We start from the raw sequence: 17,034 nt of genomic DNA, 5'->3' as shown, positions 1-17,034 counted from the left end.
TTTTTTTTTTTTATAGTTTCTGGCCTGATTCTCATGCTAAGAGAAAACACTCCACAATTATAAAAATTACTTTCCATATTTTAGTTTTAAATTTGCATATGATGCTTTTTTTCTTTATTTTTGCATGTGGTATGAGTTGCAGATCTAAATTTTTTCCAGTCTGTTAGTCCAACTCCAGGTATTCTCTCTTGTTTTAAAATTAAGTTTTATTTATATTTTTACTGTTTGAGTTGCTTTTGATTTGGATCCATATGATGTCTTTAAGAGCACAGAGGAAAGTAAAGGTGTGCTTCCTTGAATAAGCTACTGTGTCCCAGGTAGTCTTTTTTCTCAGTTGAAAATCCATTTCAAATGCTGTTTTAACATGGGTTACAATTGGACCCTAATGAAAGGGGACATCACAAATCTGTACAACATATCTGTTGATAAAAAGTATGAATGAAGTTCAATTGCTTTGGTTCTTTTAGTTTTTCTTTTGCAGTGACCTTTATTCTCCAGTTAACTTATATGTAAAGAGCACCTTGTTTAAAATCTACAGATTTTGTGATAGCGTCAGAACCGAGGAGACGGCATACTTATTTAATTACTGACTTGTTGCATACTTCTTTGTAGATGATTTTACCATTTGATGCCCTCATTTTCCCATTGGCGAAGTTAGGATTTGTTCACTTAACCATCTTAAAGGCTTAGAAACTTGTTTATCAGAGGATTAGGGAGACTTGTTCTGTGGGAGAAATCAAATTATTATCATGAGAAGTGACTGAGACAAGTTTGGGCTGAGCTCCAAATTCTTGTCCTTACAAAGATGAATAGAATTTTCCGAGATAGCTGGCACTGTAGTGTTACAGCGGTCTGTGTTTCAGCTTTCAGACTTCTAGTAAGAATTTTTAACTCCTTAGGTGTTTTCTTATCAGAAAGGTGCTGTTTTGATGCCTGGAATATTTTGTTCCTTCTCTCTGCTTTCAGCTTTACCTTCCGCCTTTCACCCTTTGGGAATCAAAATAAGTATTGGAGGGATGGTGCTAGGCTTGCTTTTGATCCTGCACTTTTTTATTTTATGGTCAGTTTCGTAAGGCCAGTAGAATTCTAGACTTGAATGGATCTTTAGAGGATCCGTAATTTATCTTTGTTTATTTATTTATTTAGAGATGGAGTCTTGCTCTGTTGCCCAGGCTAGAGTGCAGCGGTGCCATCTTGGCTCGCTGCAGCCTCCGCCTCCTGGGTTCAAGCGGTTCTCCTGCCTCAACCTCCCAAGTAGCTGGGACTACAGGCATGCGCCACCACGCCCAGCTAATTTTTGTATTTTTAGTAGAGATAGGGTTCCACTGTGTTGGCCAGGCTGGTCTCGAACTCCTCACCTCGGGTGATTCGCCTGCCTCAGCCTCCCAAAGTGCTGGGATTACAGGTGTGAGCCACCATGCCTGGCCTTCATCGATTTTTAAAATGTTCTCAGACTGAGTTTCTCATTGTCCCGCCCAAGTTTCTGAACAAACATTCTAGTTACTAGATCTCTACAGGAGGAACGACAGCATCCTTTGCCTGCTTACAGCAGATGTGCGCCATCTCTTGCCAGGATTGGGTTGTCAAGAACAAGTCAGGGGTCCTGGTGCTTGATCCTTCACTCGGGTGTTTGACCACTGGGACATGCAGTTGCCTATATATAACATGTTTAGATGATTTCATATCTCTTCCTAAATTCCAATTTTTTTGCTGCTTATATCTGAATGTCAGGGTGGGTAAACACAAACACTTTCCAGATTATGTTTTGAAACATTTTATTTCATATTACACTATCAGCCAAATTTAGAAAGCTGTAGCCACCTCAGGCAGATGGTCTTAAAATCTGAAGACCTCAGGGGAAGGAGACTGTGGGCTCTCAAGAGTGATTTCATACAGTAAATATTTACCGAATAATTTCTGTAAGTGCAGTACTCTGTTAGTTGCTGGAGGAAACAAGATGATGAAAAGGCAGCCCTTCCCCGTCAAGAGTTTGTAATCTAAAGGGGAAAAAGCAAATATACGTAAATAGCTCCGATAAAAGGTTCAGTTGCTGTAATGATAAAATACTGGGAGAATACTAGTGAGCTGAGATGACTGTGGATCTGTGTGTCCTCCAGGGCGCCTGGCATGTTGTAGGCACTCAATACACACGTTTGGGTGGATAAGTGAACACATGTAGACATGTGCATTTTGGTGTACTTTATTCAGAGTGAAAAAGATGTATAGAAAGAGATAATGTGTTAGATTTGCATATGGCTTCATAGGGTTTGAGGATTTGATGAGGTCATCAAGGGCCTGAGGCAAGCTGAGCAGAAATCCAGCCCATGGTCCACTCCATGTCCTCTTGTACCCAGGATAGCCCTGTCTGTTCCTTAGCCTCCTCTTCCCAAGGCTTGGAACACTCTTTTTTTCTGCAGCACCTGAACCCATTGCACAAAGTAAGATTTGGTCCTTAATTCAATAGGTCTATGAGAGTGAAAAAGCAGTGTTTTTTCCTCTGCTGCTGTCATACCACAACAGTCAACAAAGAAGACTTCCATGACCACATGTTTGGCAGTTTGCCCCCACACCAAGCAAGCAATTAATCCTGCAGCAAACACTAGCTGGCTGTCTTCTAATTCAACTCAGTTCTGATACTGTTTACCTGGAGATAGTGTCAGATCCCACAGGTTGAGGGCCCAGTCCCAGGACTCTCCTTCCTTTCTCTGCTGCTTCATGTGCCAGTCTCAAGCTCCAGGTGGATTTCCCTGTGCTTCTGATTGACTAGATTGGGGTTTCCACAACGCCCTCGTTGGATATGATTAATTTGCTAGAGTGGCCCACTGAACTCAGGGAAGCTCTTAGATATACTGGTTTATTACAAAGGATGTTACATGTCTCTTCTACAGATGAAATGCATAGGTTGAGGTTAGGGAGAGGGACACAGAGCATCCATGTACTTTACAGTCATACCACCTTCCAGGAACCTTCATGTGTTCAGCTGTCTGGAAGCTTCTGGAACCCTGGCGTTTCGGACTGTTAGAGAAGCTTCATTACATAGGCATTATTGATTAAACCATTGGCCATTGGTGATCAAATTAACCTTCAGCCCCTCTCTCCTCCCTGGAGGCTGTGGGATGGGGCAGAAAGTCCCAACCCTCCGATTAGGCCTTGGTCTTTCAGTTGACCAGCCCCATCCTAAAGCTACCTCAGGGCTGCCATCCATCAATTAACTCATTAGCATACAAAAAGATGTCACTGGAAATTTTAAGTATTTTAGGAGTTGTATACCAGGAAATGGGGTTGAAGTTCAAATATATATTTTACACTATCACAGTCCAATACGCTGGTTTCTCATGGACTAGTTCATGCTAATCAGGCTCAAAACAAACTCCTTTATAACTTGGAAATTTTTTTTTATTGGCAAGGGAGGATATGCTTTACTTGTTAATTAGAAATTTATTTATTTTCCTTCCATTTTTCCAATTTCTGTTCTTACCATTAGGTTATAGCTAGTTGAATAAATGACAATAATTTATTATATATCTTGATTATATTATGAGTAAGGTTTCCCAAAATATAATGCTGATCAACTTGATCACACAAGACACACTTTATGACTGAAGGTGACAGATGCAGTCTCTCATTTGCAGTGTATTTTCAGGCCATTTCCTCTTCTGTTGAATAATTATTATTGCAGCTTTATTTGCTTACTGTTCACTATGTGGCAGATAATATTTTAGTATTTTACCTTTTTCATTTAACCTTTCAGTAGTGCTTTGAAGTAGGTATCTCCATTTAAAAAATAAGGCCCAGGGAGGCTTTGTGATTTGCCTAAGGGTCATATAGCTAATTTGTAATGGAGCAAACTACCAGATCTCTGTGGCAGTGCCCCAAGGGTAGTGACTTAAGGAGACGGCCAAGTCATCCATTAGTCGTATTTTATAGATAATTTCAGAATGTGGTCTTATTTTGCTTCTGTAGGCAGTTAGGAGAAAAACCAAAAAGAAGCATCTGTACAATTATATTATCTTCTATATGTTCATATATTGTTCATGCAGAAAGATAAGCATATTGATATTGTGCAAAACCAAATTGAATCCTCATAAGACTTCAAGAATGTGTACTAGAGTAATAGGAAACAATTACTGCATATTCTCACACTCAAATGAATTGACCCATTGGTAACCTAAAGCCCTGCTTGAAATAATCAGACTTCTAAAAACACACTGAACCCTGAGTATTGTGAACGTTGGATTCTTTTCTGTTTTGCCGAATCTTCAACTTAAGTGGAGATTAAATGGTTGAGATATCTGAAAGAAGTGTGAAATGTGAAAGTCCGTCTATTAAGGATTATCCCTACAAATGTTTAAAATGCAATGTCATGCTTTGTACAAGCCTTCTACAGTGTTATTTGGAAAGCATTTATAGTACCATGTTATAAAGACAGTTTTGTATATTCCGTTAGTGAAAAGCGACGAATACCACTCTTAGTTCATGAATCTGAAATCCAGCAGGGCTTTTCCACGTACCACATTGTGATTTTATAAGTTAAGTCTCAGTATGCATGGTTTATTTTCTTTCCTTTGTTTGTTTGCTTTTATTAAACATTTCTCTTTGGAGGAAATATCAGTGGAAAGCTTTATAAAGGAACAATTCAGTGAGGAACAATGGATAGTGTTAAGGTTTTGATTCTTTAATGAGATAACTTTTTCCTCAATGAAAGCACTTTCTGAGGTAATGAGCAATGTGTCTGATAGAGGCTGAGAGGCTGAGACTCCATTTCAAAACAAAAGAAAACAAAACAAACAGAAAAATCTTTGTTATTTTAAGCAGTGGTCTAAGCCCTAGCTGTGCACCTCAGAAATTTAAAACTGAATTAAAAACTGAATTTCCAACATCTATATTTTCCTAAACTGCCCCAGGTGATTCTTAAAAGCTAAGAAGGGTTGAGAACTTCAGTGTAAGGGCAACTTGAAAGAGCCATAGTCAATAATTATTATAATGTAATCATCACCTTCATGTCTATTTCAGTGGGAGGGTAAAAGTTCTCTTAACCCTGACAGTGTATACTATAGGAACCATCCCATCTTGAGAGTCCTTTCAAACTCAAACATTCCTTCTGCCTCATACTTCTGTGGTCTAGGAAGTCACAGGATATTGGATCATTGTGTCCCCTTCATACCTTAAGGCACACACAATAGAAATAAAGGCCCTGCAGTCACCCAGTTTAAAAGTTTGTTTGTTTAGAGAGAGAAAGGAATAGAGAATCTGTATGTGCAGTAAAAGGTGATAATTTTCTGTATTGATTTTCCTACTAACAAATGGTAACACATTCTAAGTTCAGATTTAATTCTTGGTAATAATAATAGCTAGCATTTATTGAGTACTTCCTGTTCTAAGTCTTGCTGTCAGCATTTTGCAGGTGTTCTTTCTTTTATTAATTTGTATAAAGCAGCTCCTCTTGCTGTCTTTCTTGCTCTGTGGATGCAGCACACAGAGGCACAAAGATGCCTAAGGGACTTGTCCAGGTCTCACAGTCAATAGTTGAGCAGGCACTTTGGCCTGAAGGAGATTCTAGTGTCAGGCTCTTAGCCATGAGCCTGTGTTGACACCCATGTATTTGCAGAAAAGCATTCTGGCAGTTGGGCTTGGTGAAAACAGTTTGATTTAGTGAAAAAACCTGGAAGAACCTTAATCGGAGAGTTAGACAACAACCTGGTTTGCCATCCAAGGTGTCAGATTATTAACTTGATATGACATTGGGCAAGTTACTTCACCTATCTAAGGTTTTTATCCAGATTCATCCAGACGATGCTTGTTGATCTAGCTATTTTCTTTTATTTGAAAAATCAACTGTTAGACACTTACTATTTCTATCTTTCATTTAGTGTACTTACTCATTATCAATTTATTTACTTTAAATTCTGGGATACAAGCACAGAACGTGCCGGTTTATTACATAGGTATACATGTGCCATGGTGGTTTGCTACACCTATCAACCCGTCATCTAGGTTTTAAGCCCCGCATGCATTAGCTATTTGTCCTGATGCTCTCCCTCCTCTCATCCCCCACCCTGAGACAGGCCTCAGTGTGTGTCATTCCCCTCCCTATGTCCATGTGTTCTCGTTGTTCAGGTCCCACTTATGAGAGAGAACATGTGTACACTTATTATTTATTACTTCTCCCATCTATATTAATATGTATTAATTTATTAATACTTCTGGGAGAAGAGTAATACTTCTGCCATCCTGTCCCCACAATAAAAACCCAGAGTAAGAATCTCTTTTCAGATAAATATATTGAAAAAAGGAAAAGTAAACGCTAAATTAAAATTGGGGTTTGAGGAGTGTTAACATGTAGCTTTTAACTTTGTACTTTCTTATGATCTCATCTGATGGTTTCTTGTAGCTGCCTATTGTGGCCTGATTTTCATTCTGTCCAGGAGTGCTCTCTAGAAGGGTGGCACTCCTGGCCTCTTGGTGGCCCATCCCTTGCAGGCAGGCTTCATGCTTGATAGTGACCCCCTCCCTCCTGGTTTTTGTTTTCTGCCTCTGTGGCCTGAGCAGTCGACCTGATGGGGTCTAAAAAACCTTTCTTGGCCAGGAGCAGTGGCTGATGCCTGTAAGAAGTTGCAGCGAGCCAAGATCGCACCATTGCACTCCAGCCTGGGCAACAAGAGCAAAACTCCATCATACACACACACACACACACACACACACACACACACACACACACACACGAAAAAAAAAAAAACCTTTGTCGTTCAGTCTGGCCAACATGATGAAACACACACACACACACACACACACACACACACACACACACGAAAAAAAAAAAAAACAACCTTCGTCGTTCAGTCTGGCCAACATGATGAAACCTTCCTTGGCCAGGAGCAGTGGCTGATGCCTGTAAGAAGTTGCAGCGAGCCAAGATCACACCATTGCACTCCAGCCTGGGCAACAAGAGCAAAACTCCATCACACACACACACACACACACACACACACACACACACACACGAAAAAAAAAAACAAACCTTTGTCGTTCAGTCTGGCCAACATGATGAAACCTTGTCTCTACTAAAAATACAAAAATTAGCTGGGCATGGTGGCGGGCACCTGTAATCCCAGTGACTCAGGAGGCTGAGGCAGGAGAATCGCTTGAACCCGGGAGGCAGAGGCTGCAGGAAGCGGAGATCATGCCACTGCACTCCAGCCTGGGCAACAGAGCGAGACTCCGTCATAAAACAAAACAAAAAGCTTTGTTGTTTTAAGCAGCGGTCTAAGCCCTAGCTGTGCACCTCAGAAACTTAAAACTGAGTTAAAACTGAATTTCCAACATCTGTATTTTCCTAAACTTCCCCAGGTAATTCTTAAAAGCTATGAAGGAAGGGTTGAGAACTTCAGTGTAAGGGAAACTTGAAAGCCATATTCAATAATTATTATAATGTAATCATCACAACAGACCTTCTTGTCTATTTCAGTGGGAGGGTATAAGTTCTCTTAAGCGTGGCAGTGTATACTATAGAAATGTGTGGCTCAGTCATGCACCCCACCTCTGTTTGCCTGCCTAGGTCCCCCCGCATTCCTCTCATATTCTTGTGTAGGCTGTAAGGGCTAAAATTTAGGTTTGCTGTGTGTTCAGACAAAATGAGGAAGCTGGAGGAATCCAGGTGAAGAGGTGACCACAAGAGCTTAGGTGCAGACTGAAAATACAATTTAGTTTTCTTTTCTATTCCTGTGTCTGTTGTTTAGGAGTTGAGTATGTAGGATTATTCCTTGGTATGATCTGCCTGCCAAACCATACTATTTTTAGGCACTACACCACACAATAGGTTTATAAAGAGGCTATTGAACCTTCTGAGGCTGCTGTAGTCTGTCTGACAAGGGCTGAGCTACAAGGAGGCTCCCCCACCTCACAGTTCAGGCATGTAGGATTTTTATTGTTTCTTTTCAGAAAGCATCTGAATAGCTTAAAAATACAGTGGTTTGGCAGTCTAACAGGTGATGCCAGATGTCTACACAGCTCTCCTTCCATGCCTGGGTTCTCTCGACACAGCTTGCAGGTGTTTGTTAGGTGGCTAATTTTTATTTTTTCTCCTTTTTAAAATGTGCTAGAATGTGCACAGTTAGTGGTGCTAAGGGGAAAAAAGTGAACACGTGAAGCATTTTTTTGTTTGTAGGTCTCTGTCCTCTGTCTGATGATGCGTTTTATTTGCTGAGGGGATCCCCTTGTTCAGATCTGATTATCAAGTGGACTAAACAGAGTCAGTAGTAAACATTTATTACTTTACATTTGTTTTTAAAATGGCAATCAGATCTTGTTGGCTTCGAATCCATTCTTGGAAATACGCATCAGTACATTATGGTGAAAAAGTATTAGGTTATTAACAGTTGCAATGGAAAAAAATTCTCATTATAAAATAATGTGATGCCTTTAATGTGTCCACATAATAGATTGGGTATTATTTATGATTCTTTTCTTCCTTTATTCTATCTCCTTCCATTAAAATGCTCTAATAGGCGGTGTGTTAGAATTCCTGTGTAGCTTTGACTTTTTAAAGCACATATCTTTATGCAGATCATCCCCAAACTAATTTTCATCCAGGCAATTAGCCAAGTAAAGATTTTTCTTTAGCAGTGCTTAGGGAGGGGATAGACTTTAAGTTATCTTTGACAACTTTATGATTAATACTGAATGTATTTAACTCCTTTCTGCTGCTGTTACAGACGCATGTGCCTCCTTGGCATTCAAAATGTGCAGTTGACATATCTGCCACTCTGTAAGGACAAGCCTGGGCAGCCTTGCCAAGGGCAGCATTTTGGTTTTCCTAACTACATTTGGGTCATTTTCCCCATTTCTCCTCATCAGTACTTCTCCAGTGTCCTCTGCCCTCCAAAACTCCTGGGGATTTGTTGGTGGTCTCAGCAACTTATCCATATTTGAAGCCGTATTTACTCGCTCAGGGCCTCTCAGAGCAGCTGGCGCGGTGGGACCCATCAGGTGGTTGGCTTTATGGCCTCCTCTTTACCTCTGGCCCTGGAAAAGGTTTAGTAATCGCTAAGCCTCCATATCAAGAGTCACCTGAGGCCTTTGCCGAAGTACCCATGCCCAGGTGCATTCCACACGCTGCCCTGTGTATCCCTCTCTCCTGCTCCTGCATTTTGACTCAGTAGGTATAAGCTGGGGCTGGAAAGCGGAATTTTCTTTCATCAAGACCATTCCCATCAAAGCCTGGCAATGATAAGTAACTTATCCAGAGTCACTCTGGACAGCCTGCCAGTCAAAGGTAAAAGAGCATGTACTCTGCTTTTGTTTTCTATCTGTAGAATAAGGAAGGACCAACAGGCTCATTGGACTGTTCATTCTGGGCACAGGCAGATGGCTGTTTGGCTCATTAGTGTTTCATTTCCTGTTACTAGGGGTGGGCATTGTGTGTGGCTCCCCTGTGGTAGAGAAGGACATCGGATGAACATGTGATCTGTGTATCCAGCTCCAACCCAAAAGGTAATGAAAATGGGATCCAGTTTGTAGTTTTGTATATGGAAATAATTATCTTAATTGCAGGTACACATCAGGGGCCAGTCAGAATCTGGCATGAGAATGTCCAAAATGTAGTCTTCTGGTCAAATAGTGACAGGTACATATGTGCAAACCCATTTAAAATAATCAAAAGCTGACTTCCTGAAACTTTACCTGAAACTTTGTTATCTTTTACCAGAATATATAATGATAAGGAGTTGGGAAGATAGTTGAGAATGATGTCGTGGCCATTTGTATCATTAATCAAAAAGGTCTAGGAATTCACATTGTTTGACTGACTTTGTCTTCTATTATCTTTATCAGTTGACGTGGAGATTGCAGTATACCTCCCCAGGAACTGGTAGACGGTGGGAATGTCTAAACCAAATGACTTTTTATGCACGTGAGCAAATGTGTAAGAGTCATAATATATCTGTCTGGAACATAGTAGATTCTTAATAAATATTGGAATGAAAGTTTAATGCTTTGAAAAAGGCTTCTTTTACGTCTACTAAAGTTCTAGCTCAGGATACTGTAGTGTTTTTATTTACTTTTTTTTCCTCTTCATGAAAATCTAGACTCTTAAAATCCAGTATCTTTAGTAGATAATTTGCATTTATTTATTATCCAAGTTTTACATCTTGGCGTTTTTCCAGCAGTGATACCTCTCATGATTCTGTTCCACTGTGAGAAATTATATGCACTTAGAAGCTTTGATTTCTGGTTCATGTTAGAACTTCTCAGTACATGGCCCAGGGCTTTGGGGCTGCTGTGTCCTGGTCTGGCCATTGAGGCTCATGAAGGCTGAGGCCTCTGGGCCTGCCTCCCACATGCAGAGGAGGCAGGTGAGAGCTGGAGGGCCTCCCTGCTGGGCAAGGTGACCAGTACACAGCATTTTCCTTCCCATGAGGATTAAACAATCACTGGGAAACGTTCCTATATCTAAGGAATTATGCCTTATTAAAGGAATCTTTAGTAAGTACTCAGCTTCATGAGCAGATGATCCAAAAAGATGACTCTGAATTAAATTTTTTATTCCTGAGGGCCTTATTAAATACCAGTGCAGCGTATGAGCAACAGGGCATAGCAGCTTCTTTTGGGTGATATTATTTGGTTAAATCAATTACTAATACCAGACTACTGATTTCTTACTAATGTTTTGGTGTAGTGCAGGTAGCTGGGGATGTGGTTTGGGGTAGGAGGTGGTTAAGCCATTTTATCCCAATAGTCTGATGGACAGGAAGATGGGATTGCTGGCTGCCATGCTACCACCAGCTCACAGGGAAAACTGTTTTTAAAAACACAAAGTACGTTTCTTTACTGTCAATAAAGGACTGGCCAAGGGCTATTTCTGTTCTGAGTTAGTTCCTTTGTGGGCCCTGAAAGTCCAACAGTTCTGTGTGTGAGAGAGAGAGCAGATTAGGCAGGGATCAAAAATCAAGAATGAATTGAGGGGAACCGACAGGAAGGAAATTTGTTTCCAGACGGATTTGCTGATGGGTAGGTATTATTACTCTTTGTGAACTTTTATTTCCTTGATGAACAGATAGTCAGTTTATATCTGCATTGAATTAGTCTATAGTAGAAACATTGTAGCTTACTCTAACAATAGAGCAATTTATTTATTTAAAGTAATACACACTAATCTTCATTTACTTATATTTTGAACCAAGGCTTCTTTGTTTTATACAGGTAACCTATTAAAAGTAATATATTACATATATAGTATTTGTATAGAAAGAAGGAAATAAAATCTCCTCAATTGTCAACACCCAATGATGAAAACAAAATTTTGGAGAATTTTCTTCATCTTTTTTCTATAAATACATGGTATGTCTGTGTATGTATGTTTGTATTATATTCTGTTGATATACTGCATATACATTTTGGTGTGCTTTTATTAAAGCACATTTCATTATTTCATGGTCTTTATAAATAGTATTTTTATGCTAGAACATGTATTTATTTTACAGGAGTTGGCATATTTCTTTTCAAGAACACTGACCGGGGCAAAAGGAGGTTTATTCTTCCTGCCTGTGCAGTTCCCAGGCTTAGTGCTTGTGACTGCAGAGTCTAAAGCACTCTACATGCCGGGTCTAGCTGGAGCTGATTGAGTTTATGTTACTATTTGTTCATATTGGAAGCATCCCTTCTGTGTTAAGATGTAGAAGAAAAAGTTTATTAAATGGGATGCTGCTGCCCTATGATTGAGCTCTGCATAGTGAAAATATTTACTCAGTCTGGCTGACTTCTAGGATAATCCCTGCTACCCCATGGGCTGGCAGGAAGGAAGCTGAGCTCTGGCTTCCTGCTGGGCCTAGAGTGCTGATGTCTGGGGTTGCTGGGGTAAATTCAGACATTCTTCTACTTTACATAATTGAGATCACCCACCCACCGGTGGGATGAGGACTCTAGAGTGTGAAATTAACACATCAAGTGAATTTTATATCATGGTAGCCTTGGGCTGGTTTTTGCAAATTAAATTTTTGCCTCAGCCCTGCAAAAGCAGTATTAATTTAGTACTGGTGAAACCAAACTGTTTCCATGACACTTCTACCCTGAGAGGTGAGAGGATCGTTTTATACTAGGATAGTGAGTCTTACTGAATAAATTGTTATCTGTTTGGTAAAAACTACTATTGACTAAAAGTGATTACCCTCATAAAACTTGATGCACATGGTGTAGAAATTTAAAGAAAACATGCATAAAAACGAAGATTTAGGATCATGCATCAGCCAGGAGAAATGCCAGTTAGTTCTTCCAGAAGACTTTTATGGGAGATAACTCATTAGCTGGCAAAATTAAAAAAAAAATTTGTTTGGGGGTGCACTGAGAATGGATCTATCTCTCAGACTTGGTTGCTTTAACCAAACTCAGTAGCGGAGTATGTGACAAGAATGCCTACTTAGTAATGTACAAAACTAAATATGCTCACCATGGGAACCTGAATGCCAGCCTTTTCTCAGTGCCATATTCCCTTCCTGAAGGTAGACAGAGGTCTGCAGGTTGCCCGGCACATTTGCCATCAGAACCGTGGCCGGGGGTGGGGCACATTTACCATCAGAACCAGGGAGAGAAGTGAGTTGAACAATTATGGCTTCAGACAAGGACTGCCCAGGAGAGGACTCCCCATCTAGTGGCTGAGGGTCCTTCTCCTCTGGATGCCAAAATTTCCTCTAGGATCCTCTTTTCATGTCCCCAGTTCCTGCCCAAAACTCTCTTTAATTATGTTTTGCCATTAATTAGGATACAGTCAAATCTTACCTCGAGGCTTCTTGCTCTTTGAAGTGTAAATCTCAGTGGGTTATCTTTTCTCCTCATTTCAAGCTGTCTGGGGAGGTTTCACTGTGTGAGATAAAAGCCTATGGCAACTGGCTTTCCAAGTAGGGTTCTGTTTGAACAATGCAGCTATGACTTGTCACTTTTTCCAGCAAGGCTTTTGTTTTGGCTTACTCTCCATACAGACACTGCTTTGGTGATGTGGAATAATGATCCTTATAAAAATAATGTCTGAGTGTTTTAAATGTATGATTTATCTATGGACTGGAGATGTTACAGTCAGTGTCATGCTGGTACAGGATGTTCAGCCTGTTGACACTTCTCAGCACATGCCGGCAATGTTTCATTTAGCTGACAATCTTTTGTGTCTTCACTGTGCCAGGCATCTTGTTAGGCAGGGTGAGACAATACCACATTGACCAGGTTTCTCTGATTTCTACATCCTCAGTCTAGTGGGATAGACAAGCATGTAAATAAATAATGGTAATGTTGGGTTGTGTCTCTCAGAACACGGAATAGGGCAAGAGCTGTGGCTTGCCAGAGACAGTGAGAACACATGGAAGTCACAGTAGCTGCAGAGGAAATATTCTTTGGAATATTGGAATTTTCAAAGTACCTGGAGTTTGGGTTAACAAGAGTGAGAGAGGAAACTCACTGGCTGGGAATGGAAAGACTGGTTGAAGTCATTGTTTGGTGGGGCCTGATGTGTTGTGGGGTTAAGATAGTGAATGATTTGCATAGAAAGAAACACACAAGGAGTTTTTTTGTAACCTTTGACCAAAGTTAAACACCTACCCCTGCTGTATGTGGCTTCCACTATTGAAAAGCGCCTGAACTCTCAAGAGTCCGTTATGGCTTATCTTAATAGAGAGACTGATAACCACATTATGGGGTGCCTTAGGTAGAAGCGAATGCCAGAAATGGAGCCCAACCCCTGGCAGGCGTTCACTGTATGTTATATCTTCCTATTTGTCCTGTACGCCTGCTGAATTTGTGATAGCAATGAGACCGGATCCACAAACATTGTCACCATAACCTACTGTGGATTACACAGGCGCTGTGCAGTGTCAGCCTCTCACCTCCTATCAGTATTTTATTGAGCTGCCTTCATGAGTTTTTGTTAATCCTCTTTTGCTCACGGGACACAGGTAAAAATTTACTTTTGTTGGGTGTGGGATTTCTTCCACATGGCTTCTCTCTCCATTCTTGACTGTTGTCCCAGAGCTGGCCTGTGTCTCCTGGTCCAACGGATTGCCTCCATCCTGAAAATCTCAAAGACTGCAAAATCCTTGAGATTTTGATATCTGAATCTAAAAAATAGAGGGAAATTAAATGAGCTTTCCAAGAAGTGTGCTTTAACTTTTCCTGGGTAAATTGTCTTATCTTTTTGCAGACTTCAGTCTGACCCCAGTGTTCACTACCTTGGAGCTCTTCCATTTTTTTTTTTTTTAACTGTTTGTATGAGAGGATAAGATCCCTAGTTTTACAAAGCAAAGTTCAAAGATTCTCAAGTGTGATTGATAACAGCTCCCGAAGACACATAATTTCTTTTGGTTTTATCTTGTTTCTGTCTCTGTTTGTTTTTCCCGGATGACACACTTATCTGTCTGGTTTCTCCATATCTGAACGGGGTTTATGTGCCATTGATAGCTGCCTTTTGAATTGCGTGGATTTTGTTTCCATCCTTGTCTGTGCAGCATCAGAGCACATTTGTAGAATTATCAGCTGGTGTGTTAAACTGCACTATGGCCATACCTTATCGCTAAAGGGAGAGAAGAAGTTTTGGGTTCACTTTTTCTTTTAAAAATGTAATTGAGATAATTATTTGGTTATCTTTAACTTAAGCAACAGCAGCAGCAGCAACAACAGAAAACCTGACATGCCAACAGATGAGATAGATGTTGGGTAAATTTGAGGGGCAGGGGCTGCCAGCAAAACCCTTGATGAGAGAAGCTTAGTTGAGTTCAGTTCATTCCTCTGTAAGTTTTGTAACAGACAGAAAGGTAAGCTTTTATCACAGTGTACACATTAAACTTCTTTAAACAGCTTAGTGGATCCTGAGTTCTTGCTACAGATACTTCAGAATGTGTGCACTCATGTTATCTTTAGCAGTAATGTCATCTTTAAGGAATCCTGTGTTAGCTCTTCATGGCTCTCACCAAGTTTAGGTGATCCTTGAACTGTTGACAGTCTTCTGGGTTAACTATGGCTTGCCGTCTCTGCAAAATGCTATTCAAGGACATTGTTGCAATGTGGAGGTTGCTAGGGAAGCAACTTTTCAGTTAATACCCTTGTGAGCTAATACCTTTGTGATGGATAGATTTTTTTCTGTAATAGAGAATTTGCAGAATAGTTTTGTTTAGAAATGTTGTATTGTGCTTTCTAGGACCTAGAATGTAGAGTTCTCTATCCCCTGCTGTTCTGTCCTTTCATCCTTTCATTTATTTAGAATTTCCAAAGACTGCATAGGCTCCGTGGATCTTTTTTGAATCTGCTGATTTTTCTGTGAAGCTGATGTCATGGTCTGGACCTTTACTCTTACATATGCTAATTATTAGATTACATTTGGCTGTTGAGGCTTCCTTAGAGGGGGCTGAAGAAAGTGGATTGTTTATCAGCTGTCTGCTTTGTCTTAGACTTGGTGATACTTCAGTGAGAGCCTATATATGGTGGAGCAACTGGAGGTTCTTCTCTCTGTTAATTAGGCATTTGGTTAGTCTGTCTTGGGGAATTCTGGTTAGAAGTACACCTTGGGGAACCTGACTCCTCACTCCAGCTGGAGGTGATAAAGATCAGGGTGGGGTTATGCTGCTCCAGGTTGGCTTTAGGGGGGCAAAGCATGGCATTGTAAATAGAATTACATTCAGACTTGGCTCCACAAATACCTGCTCTCCCACTCTGGCTTCAGATTACCGGTGGAGGTGAATTGTTGAGTCTGAAAACTTTTCTCTGTTTAATTTTGGGCATGGGAGTAGTGCAGCTGAAAGATAAATAATGTTTGGGTGGTTTCATTTGTTCGAAAGAAGAGTCACTTGTTTTCTCAGAACTGCTGAGATTAGTGATGTGATTTAGAACCTAGAAGTTTTTCACATGTTTGTATTGTAACTGATTTTAAAGTAAAAGCATCTGCCAAAATTGAATAATTAATGTCCATAAGTTTGTAAACTCAATTTCTTGTTTATTTGCTTTTATTCCATGGACAGTTATTGTAAGGAAGCAAGCTAAATACTTCACGGAGAGAAAGGGACATTTAATTTTGCTAATTACAGACACAAATGTATGATGTGCAGATTCTTTCACTTAGAAATTCATTGTTGGAAGTTATTTCCTTATTGTTATTTTGATAAAAAATAATTGTACCCCTTTTAGCCTGTTAGATAAAATTAAACCAAGAAACTCCGTGGAATGCCTGGGAACAACACCCAACTTGCCAGCACAACAGCTGCAAGGCCAGGGCACACACCAAACACGGCTGATGCAGATCCCATTTCTAGAAAGAAAACATCAGCACGTGTGTGACAGTGTCAAGATATGTGTGCATAACATAAATATTGCTCTCTAGTTAAAATAAGTCGTCGTTTCATTCTTCGTGACACCAGTGTTGTTGCAAAAGCAAACTGAAGGGAAATCTACATGGTATCCTGAGAAAGACTAAAGGGAACTATTTTTAGGGTAGCATTGTGGAAAGACTTTTCCTGTTGAAGGCTTTGGAATTTGAGAGGCTGGATAAAGTAAGTTTGTTAAAACTAGGACTTTAAATGTAAATATTTTATTTCATAATCCCTTCTTTTAGCACAGCCACTTCACCATATCCTTTCCTGTAGGAGCCCTTCTTCTTTGTATTGTGTCCTGTTATTGAAGTTTCAGACTGTCCAGCCACTGATCTGCTATGTCTCTCCTATAGATTGTTCTCCATTTGTCCTTCTCTTCTGGTTTGCTCTGATGACTGCATTTAAATAATTCTAGTGCTTGTTAACATTTATCTCTGAGAGAGACAGACAGGAGATGAAGATAGAAATTTAAAACCAAATGTATCCATTTTGATTCTTAATAGTTACTCTGGTGGAAAAAATAACTTTTTAGAGATTGAAACCAGTGTTGTGGACAGATTTGTATGTTAATCTTGCCTCCTGCAGTAGTTTATAAATGTCCTGGATGGAGTCAGGGCTCATGCCTTAGGTATTTCTCATTGCCTACCATGGGGCCTTGCTGCTTGGTAACTTCTTAATGCTTAAATGAAAGAATGAACAT

General features: G+C 40.1%; 1 protein-coding gene across 11 annotated transcripts in view, besides 2 other annotated features; it reads left to right on the top strand.

Annotated features, from left to right (window-relative positions):
- SIPA1L2 (signal induced proliferation associated 1 like 2) overlaps nt 1-17,034 on the top strand; it is a 232,532-nt gene that overhangs the window by 59,539 nt on the left and 155,959 nt on the right. The gene's annotated exons all lie outside the window — the stretch shown is intronic.
- Nucleotides 14,504-15,075: an enhancer, noted in NCBI's record as "NANOG-H3K27ac hESC enhancer chr1:232691629-232692200 (GRCh37/hg19 assembly coordinates)". NCBI's record gives its function as "activates a minimal SCP1, AML or CMV promoter by ChIP-STARR-seq in naive H9 embryonic stem cells {active_cell/tissue: H9 hESC(naive)}" and the evidence as "EXISTENCE:reporter gene assay evidence [ECO:0000049][PMID:30033119]".
- Nucleotides 15,381-15,675: a silencer, noted in NCBI's record as "tiled region #1023; HepG2 Repressive non-DNase unmatched - State 24:Quies, and K562 Repressive non-DNase unmatched - State 24:Quies". NCBI's record gives its function as "represses a minimal TATA promoter and a strong SV40 promoter by Sharpr-MPRA in HepG2 and K562 cells {active_cell/tissue: HepG2 | K562}" and the evidence as "EXISTENCE:reporter gene assay evidence [ECO:0000049][PMID:27701403]".

This window comes from Homo sapiens, chromosome 1 (genome assembly GCF_000001405.40).
Source record: "Homo sapiens chromosome 1, GRCh38.p14 Primary Assembly".
Classification (NCBI taxonomy): Eukaryota; Metazoa; Chordata; class Mammalia; order Primates; family Hominidae; genus Homo; species Homo sapiens.
This window is presented reverse-complemented; position numbering and strand designations above follow the sequence as displayed.